This window comes from Homo sapiens, chromosome 22, assembly GCF_000001405.40.
Source record: "Homo sapiens chromosome 22, GRCh38.p14 Primary Assembly".
Lineage (NCBI taxonomy): Eukaryota > Metazoa > Chordata > Mammalia > Primates > Hominidae > Homo > Homo sapiens.
Genome location: NC_000022.11, coordinates 11622364 through 11631288, shown reverse-complemented (window position 1 = coordinate 11631288; position 8925 = coordinate 11622364). Strand labels below are relative to the sequence as shown.

General features: G+C 51.3%; 3 pseudogenes; 2 read left to right on the top strand and 1 right to left on the bottom strand.

Annotated features, from left to right (window-relative positions):
* Positions 582 to 1740, bottom strand: RNA18SP (RNA, 18S ribosomal pseudogene; annotated as a pseudogene).
* On the top strand, positions 1800 to 5435 carry LOC100996699 (proline-rich protein 2-like; annotated as a pseudogene).
* A 109-nt stretch (positions 5436 to 5544) lies between these two features.
* On the top strand, positions 5545 to 7469 carry CDC27P8 (cell division cycle 27 pseudogene 8; annotated as a pseudogene).
* The last annotated feature ends 1456 nt before the right edge of the window (positions 7470 to 8925 follow it).

Sequence of the window (8925 nt, the reverse complement as noted above, 5' to 3'; positions counted from 1 at the left end):
GATCCGAGGACCTCACTAAACCATCCTATCAGTAGTAGAGACGGGCGGTGTGTACATAGGGCAGGGACTTCAGGCAAGCTTATGACCCGAACTTACTGGAAATTCCTCCTTCATGGGGAATAACTGCAATCCCCCATCCCCATCACGAATGGGGTTCAACAGGTTACCCGCCTCTGCCACGTAGGGTAGGCATATGCTGAGCCAGTCAGTGTAGCGCGCGTGCAGTCCCGGACATCTAAGGGCATCACAGATCTGTTATTGCTCAATTTCGGATGGCTGAAGGCCACTTGTCCCTCTAAGAAGTTGGGGGACGCCGACCGCTCGGGGGTCACGTAACTAGTTAGCATGCCAGAGTCTCATTGGTTATCGGAATTAACCAGACAAATCACTCCACCAACTAAGGCCATGCACCACCACCCATGGAACAGAGAAACAGCTATCAATCTGTCAATCCGGTCCATGTCCGGGCCGGGTGATTTTTCCCATGTTGAGTCAAATTAAGCCCAGGCTCCACTCCTGGTGGTGCCCTTCCACCAATTCCTTTAAGTTTCAGCTTTGCAACCATACTCCCCCCGGAACCTAAAAACCCAAAGACTGGTTTCTTGGAAGCTGCCCAGCGGGGTCATGGGAATAACGCCGCCACATCGCCAGTCGGCATCGTTTATGGTCGGAACTACGACGGTATCTGATCATCTTCGAACCTCCGGCTTTTGTTCTTGATTAATGAAAACATTCTTGGCAAATGCTTTCACTCTGGTCTGAACTGCGCCAGTCCAAGAATTTCACCTCTAGCGGCACAATACGAATGCCCCCGGCCGTCCCTCTTAATCCTGGCCTCAGTTCTGAAAACCAACAAAATAGAACCGCGGTCCTATTCCATTATTCCTAGCTGCGGTATCCAGGCGGCTCGGACCTGCTTTGAACACTCTAATTTTTTCAAAGTAAATGCTTTGGGCTGCGGGACACTCAGCTAAGAGCACCGAGGGGGCGCCAAGAGGCAAGGGGCGGGGACAGGCGGTGGCTCGCGTCCTGGCGGACCGCCCGCCCGCTCCCAAGATCCAACTAGGAGCTTTTTAACTGCAGCAACTTTAACATATGCTATGGGAGCTGGAATTACCGCGGCTGCTGGCACTAGACTTGCCCTCCAATGGATCTTCGTTAAAGGATTTAAAGTGGACTCATTCCAATTACAGGACCTCGAAAGAGTCCTGTATTGGTATGTTTCATCACTACCTCCTTGGGTCGGGAGTGGGTAATTTGCATGCCTGCTGCCTTCCTTGAATGTGGTAGCCATTTCTCAGGCTCCCTCTACAGAATTGAACCCTGATTCCCCATCACCCGTGGTCACCATGGTAGGCACAGCGACTACCATCAAAAGTTGATAGGGCAGACGTTCTAATGGGTCGTCGCTGCCACGGGGGGTGTGCGATTGGCCCGAGGCTATCTAGAGTCACCAAAGCTGGTGGCACCCGACCCCCTGGCCGGGGCCAGAGAGGGGCTGACCGGGTTGGTTTTGATCTGATAAATGCACGCATCTTCCCCACGAAGGGGGTCAGCGCCCTTCGGCATGCATTAGCTCTAGAATTACCACAGTTTTCAAAGTAGGAGAGGAGCGAGCGATCAAAAGAACCATAACTGATTTAATGAGCCATTCGCAGTTTCACTGTACTGGCCCTGTGTACTTAGACATGTATGGCATAATCTTTGAGACAAGCATATGGTACTGGTAGGATCAACCAAGTAGGTAGAAAGCGGCCTCCAGGCCTCGCGAGGATGAGCCCGGCATCCCAGTCGCGAGGATGGGTGCGGCAGGGCGGTCGACCTGGCGTGTGGGAGGGAGGGAGCAGCGCGGGGCGGTGGGAGCCGGGTGATGGGGCGGCGAACCGGACATCCCATACACCCACACTACACAACACCCCCCGATGGGCTCACCACTCCCGACCCTTCGTGCCCACGTGTAACCAGGCAGAACGCCCGACCCGTGCATGGCAGCCGCGAGGGACCGGCGGCCACTCACGCGCGGCGGGCGCGGGGCAGCCCCGACGTTTGGGCAGCGAACGAGAGGCGGACCGCGGTGCCCGGGATCTCACCGCCAGCGGCCTCCAAGCACGAAGGCGGCCCCGCGCAGCACCTGGAGCGGCCGACTGGCCTTCGGCGGGCCCGCGGCTTCCCCACCGCCGCCGCCATCGCGGCCAGCCCCCAGAACCCTCTTCCCTGCGCGCGCTGCACGCCGACCCCATACCCTCCGGGCTCACACCAGGCCCATGCGGGGCGCCGCCGACCTGGTCCCGAAGGCGAGCGCCCAGGGACACGGACAACGGGCCAACAAGTGGCCGGCGGTGGCGCCGCCACACAAGGCGGAGCCGGGTTTGGTCCCAGACGGGACCACCACAGCCTAAGCCGGTGAGCCGCTCGGGGAGAGAGGATACGCGGGCGGGGAGGGGGGCACAGACGCAAGGCCAGGGACCGCGAGGGCAAGGGCACCCGGAAGCCCGCAGAGGGGCGGCTCGGGGAGAAACCTCAGGCATGGCCGGTCCACCAGGAAAACACGGCCACGGGATCCCACCGCCACAGACACGAGGGAGGTCCTGCGGCGACCCGCCTAGGACGCCGGACGGCCCTCAGCACCCACCAAGACCCGCCTCATGAGCCCGGGTCCCGCCATCGGGACCCCAAAGCGACCTCAGCCACAAACCCAATGCCAGGGCTAGGTTGCTCGTTTCTCGTCCATCCTCCGACCCGGTCAAGCTCCGGGAGACCGGCGCGCCCCCCACTTGGGAAGCTTCCCATGGCCAGGCGGCCCAACCCCGTGCCACACAAACGCGGTCGTCGACACTGGTCGCTGCTCCTCAGGGGAGCGGGTGGAGAGACGGCTCGCAGCGGAGCGGGTCACGCGCCAGAGGGAACGCCGGGCACAGCCACCGCTCGCGCAGCCTCCCAACCGCTAGGACGCCGGCGCGGCACGGAGGGATCCTCCCGCGACTCAGAAGGGGGAGGCGCGGGCCACACAGTAGGCGACGAGCCGCCCTCCGTCCCCACCGCGGAGGCAGGGGAACCCTAGCTCTCCCCACCTCACCCCGTCGAGGGGGAAGTGGAGGAGTGTCCTCTGCGAGCTAGTCGCTACAGCAGCGCTACCATAACGCAGAGAGAGGCGGAAGGCCGGGGGATCCGCTACCCCAAAGGCACACCTCTCGGATCACTAGAGAAGGCTTTCTCACGGAGGGTGGGTCACACTCCCCACCAGCCAGTCGCCCCTCGTTGGGCCCTTAGAGGTGCTCAGGGATGCCTGGGGAAAGCAGGGGGCCTGCGGTACCAGGAAAAATCTGCGTGCGGCAACCTTGAACCTTCGCGGTCTGGGCGGGGGGCCTGGCCGCTATGCGTGTGCGCAATCCCCCAAGGGCCCCCCGTCCACCAGCCTCCTTTCTCCTAGACAAAGCACCTCCAAGTAAATCCACACACAACCTGTCGGAGGCAGAACGGTAGCCCCTCGGCGGCCGGCCGGCGCACGCGTCACCTGCCCAAGCCCACCGCGATAGCTCACACTGCCTGTGCGCACCAACCAGAGGGGATCACAGGACCTGCGCTCGCCAGACCAGGCGACGCCCTTCCCCGCGTGGCAGGGGTGCTTCTCACTCAACCTCCTCGACCCCCACACCAACGAGCTCCCTCAGGACCCACTCGCGGACACCGCGGCGGCGACCGGAGGAGGGGGCGCTGGGGGTGGGAACCACACACCACCGCTGGACTTTGGGCACCTGAGTGATAAGCTGGGGGGGGAACGGGTGGAGCCAGGCGCAGTAGGCTCACGCCTTTCATCCCCGCACTTTGGGAGGCGAGGGAAGGTGGATCCCTAGATCCAAGCCTTGGCAACATGGTGAAACCTCGTCTCTAAAAAAATACAAAAACTAACTGGTTTCATAACCTGGACTCAAAGTTAATAAATAGATAAATAGGCCGGGCGCGGTGGCTCACGCCTGTCATCCCAGCACTTTGGGAGGCCGAGGCGGGCGGATCGCGGGGGTCAGGAGATCGAGACCATCCTGGCTACCACAGTGAAACCCCCGTCTCTACTCAAAATACAAAAAATTAGCCAGGCGCAGTGGCGGGCGCCTGTAGTGCCAGCTGCTTGGGAGGCTGAGACAGGAGAATGGCGTGAACTCGGGAGGCAGAGCTTGCAGTGAGCCGACATCACGCCACTGCACTCCAGTCTGGGCAACAGAGCAAGACTACGTCTCAAAAAAATAATAATAATAATAAAGAGATCAAAATTGAAAATTAAAAAAAAAACGTAGCTGGCCGGGCGCAATGGCTCACGCCTGTCATCCCAGCACTTTGGGAGGAAGAGGTGGGCAGATCACCTGAGGTGGCCAGTTCGAGACCCGCCTGACCCACATGGAGAAATGCCGTCTCTACTAACAATACAAAATCAGCCAGGTGTGGTGGCCCATGCCTGTAATCTCAGCTACTCAGGAGGCTGAGGCAGGAGAATCACTTCAACACGGGAGGTGGAGGTTGCAGTGAGCTGAGATGGTGCCATTGCACTCCAGCTTGGGCAACAAGAGTGAAACTCCGTCCCCCCCCCAAAAAAAAAATTAAGCGCAGTATTCTGTTATTTTTGCTTCCTACCCTGAGAAGATCATAATACAGCTGTTGTCTGTCTGCCTGCCTGCCTGCCTGCCAGCCTGCCTGCCTGCCTGTGACAGGGCCTCACTCTGTCTTTCACTCAGACTGGAGTGCAGTGACACCATTATGGCTCACTCACTGCAGCCTCCACCTCCACAGGGTTAGGCGATTCCTCAAGGGATCCTAGGGCCTCAGCCTCCCAAAGTGTTGGGGTTACAGGTGTGAGCCACCAGCACCTGGCCTGAGTTAATACATCTGGTCTCACTACGTCTTAACCACACACCCATGAAGAACTCAAGTCAAGAGAGAGTCAGTAAGAGACTCAGCATTCTCTACCGAAAGCAGTGAGGTGGATGGCGGCTTGTGTCCCGAGCTCCTGTGGTTTCAGTTGGCCACGCGTAGAGGAGAGATTTCCAACGTTTCCAGAGAGGAAACATTGTCATTCGGGCCACAGCCATTCGGGGCATCCGAGCACGAGATGGGCTTTCTGACAGCGACTTTAGTGCGAGGAAGGGTCAGAATCTGCCAAGGCCCGTGTCCCAGGGTGTGGCCGAAGGAACCCAAGGTAGAGGGAGTCAGCGGTCCACACAGAGAGAGCTCCAGCCCTAGGCCCCACTGTGCAGACCCAATCAGAAGAAGAGAGTCCTTCATCCTACATGCCACATCCCTCCACTGAACTTGGGAGCGGATCCGTTTTCCAAACATGAGGTGACTCTCGCTTTGCAATGGATCACAAGGGGCCGGGCTTCCAGAGGTGGCAGGGTAAAGAAGTCATTCTGGCTCGGCCTCCCCCATCCCCTGGTAACTGGTGAGTTTAAATGAGCCGAGGCTGGCCGGGCCGGAGCCACTACGGCGGGGAGGGGTGTGGGCGGGGTGGGGGGGTGCCTGAGGCACTGCAGAAAGTGGGTCTGAGCCTCGAGGATGACGATGCTACAGGAACCCGTCCAGGTTGCTACATGGCAAGCACTAAACCACTATGCTTACCGAGATGGGGTTTTCCTCGCAGAACGCCTTTACGCAGAAGTACACTCAGAAGAAGCCTTGTTTTTACTGGCGACCTGTTCTTACTGCCCAGGAAAGGCCTATAAAGCATATAGACTCTTGAAAGGACACAGTTGTCCTACACCGCAATGCAAGTACCTGCTTGCAAAATGTTGTTTTGATGTCAGCAAGCTTGCAGAAGGGGAACAAATCTTATCTGGTGGAGTGTTTCATAAGCAGAAAAGCCATGATGATATTGTTACTGAGTTTGGTGATTCAGCTTGCTTTCCCCTTCCATTGTTGGGACATGTATATTGCAAGACAGATCGGCTTGCCAAAGGATCAGAATGCTACCAAAAGAGCCTTAGTTTAAATCCTTTCCTCTGGTATCCCTTTGAATCATTATTTGAAATAGGTGAAAAGCCAGATCCTGACCAAAGTTTTAAATTCACATCTTTACATAACTTTAGCAACTGTCTGTCCAAGTGTTGCACCACACAAGTACCTCGTCATAGTTTATGTCACAGACAGCCTGAGACTGTTCTTATGGAAACACCCCAGAACGCAACTGAATTAAACAGATTGAATTTAGAATCTTCCAATTCAAAGTACTCCTTGAATACAGATTCCCCAGTGTCTTCTATTGATTCAGCTGTAATTTCACCTGATACTCTCCCACTGGGAACAGGAACTTCCATATTATCTAAACAGGTTCAAAATAAAGCAAAAACTGATCGAACTTTATTAGGAGGACCAGCATCTCTTAGTCCATTAACCCCAAGTTTTGGGATTTTACCATTAGAAACCCCAAGTCCTGGAGATGGATCCTATTTACAAAACTACACTAATACACCTTCTGTAATGGATATGACATCCACCGGAGTCCCTTCAAAAAAGTCTGTTGCCAGAATAGGCCAAATTGGAGCAAAGTCTGTCTTCTCACAGAGTGGAAATAGCCGAGAGGTAACTCCAATTCTTGCACAAACAGAAAGTTCTGGTCCATAAATAAGTACAACACCTCAGGTATTGAGCCACACTATGATATCTCCCCCAAATGCACTGCATTGAAGAAGTTCACGACTCTTTACTCGTGACAGTTCCACAACCAAGGAGAATAGGAAGAAATTAAAAATGAAGTTTCCACCTAAAATCCCAAACAGAAAAACAAAAAGTAAAACTAATAAAGGAGTAATAACTCAACCTAATATAAATGACAGCCTGGAAACAACAAAATTGGACTCTTCCATCATTTCAGAAGGGAAAATATCCACAATCACACCTCAGATTCAGGCTTTTAGTCTACAAAAAGCAGCAGCAGAAGACTTGATGAGCCTTCTTCGTGAAAGGGGGAAGGTTATTTAGCTTTGTGTTCATACCACTGCAAAGAAGCTATAAATATTTTGAGCCATTTACCTTCTCACCACTACAATACTGGTTGGGTACTGTGCCAAATTGGAAGGGCCTATTTTGAACTTTCAGAGTCCATGCAAGCTGAAAGAATATTCTCAGAGGTTAGAAGGATTGAGAATTATAGTCGAAGCCATGGAAATCTACTCTACAACACTTTGGTATCTTCAAAAAGATGTTGCTCTTTCATTTCTGTCAAAAGACTTAACAGACATGGATAAAAATTTGCCAGAGGCCTGGTGTGCTGCAGGGAACTGTTTCAGTCTGCAACAGGAATACGATATTGCAATTAAATTCTTCCAGAGAGCTATCCAAGTGGATCCAGATTATGCTTATGCCTATACTCTATTAGGGAATGAGTTTGTCTTAACTGAAGAATTGGACAAAGCATTAGCTAGTTTTCGAAATGCTATCAGAGTCAATCCTAGACATTATAATGCATGGTAAGTGGTAATGAAGTGTAAAGACAAAGTCTTGTTGATGGTGCTGGTAGTCACTAATTTTTCTTGTTAGATAGCTCTTTATTGTCATGAATTTGGTTACTAATACTTAGGGATGGTACATACTGGTCAATAACTTCAAACTAACACGCTTTCTTATGAAATGTATGCCTTTAACAAACTCTTAAGTTAACTAATGATAATAGAATACCAGATCCTTATACTCAAGAGTTTCAGTCTTCTACCAAACTTTTGCAGATGCTCTAGTTGTGTTTTGTTTGTTTGTTTGCTTGTTTAGTTTTGTTACTTGATTTGTTACTTTTTCTTCGAACACAGAAATGGTGATTGAGACAAAAAGTGCTTGGGAAATTGGAAAGGAATAGCATAATTCACTTATTGGATAATAGAAAAAATCACTGAAAAAATTCACTAGTTGCTGCTTTTTGACAGTGTTCCAGTTTATTGAGTTACTATTAGGAACTAAGTGTACCCTTTTATTTAGCAGTATCTCTGTTTTACTTTTTTGTACTTGTGTATAAGTAGAGACATAGGAAATTACTACCCAGGTCATATTGTTATCAACTGAATAACATATGAAAAAGTTTGGTCCTACTTCTACCTCAACACTATAATTACTGTTGACATTTATTGTATTTTTCTGGACTGACTTAAAAGTTTAAATATCAAGAGAAGGCCAGGCACGGTGGCTCATGCCTGTCATCCCAGCACTTTGGGAGGCTGAGGCGGGTGGATCACAAGGTCAAGAGATCGAGACCATGCTGGCCAACATGGCGAAACCCCGTATCTATTAAAAGTATAAAAATTAGCTGGGAATGGTGGCGGGCGCCTGTAGTCCCAGATACTCAGGAGGCTGAGGCAGGAAAATCGCTTGAACCGGGAAGTGGAGGTTGCAGTGAGCCAAGATTATGCCATTGCACACCAGCCTGGGCAACAGAGCAAGAAACCATCTCAAGAAAAAAATAAAATAAAATGAAATAAAATAAAATAAAATAAAATAAAATAAAATAAAATAAATAAATATCAAGAGAAAGTATAATTCTGAAGTCATAACTCTGTGGAAGCCTTTTTGTCAGATACGGTTATCTTTGGGGTTAATTATTATAACAGTTGAGTTTTAACACTTGATTTGCTTCTAAATCTGAAGCATTATATTACTAAAACATTTTTTCATTTGTGAGTATGTTGTTTAATGGATTATATCTCATTTTGCAGTAGTAGTTGCAGTGCCTGAGAGATTGCCAAAAAAAAATAGTGCTAGCTTTTGCTGACAAATGTAACAATCAACTTACCAATACAGCCTTCTCTTCTGATAGCTATGTTATCCGTAATATTTTAAGAACTCAGTTCTTCATAAGACTTGTGTTGTTTTTTAATTTTTCCCAAGTCTGGTTGATCCTTGTGTTGTTCTTTTTTAAATGTGTATTGTCTGTTCAGCTATTCTGCAGGAGTCGCA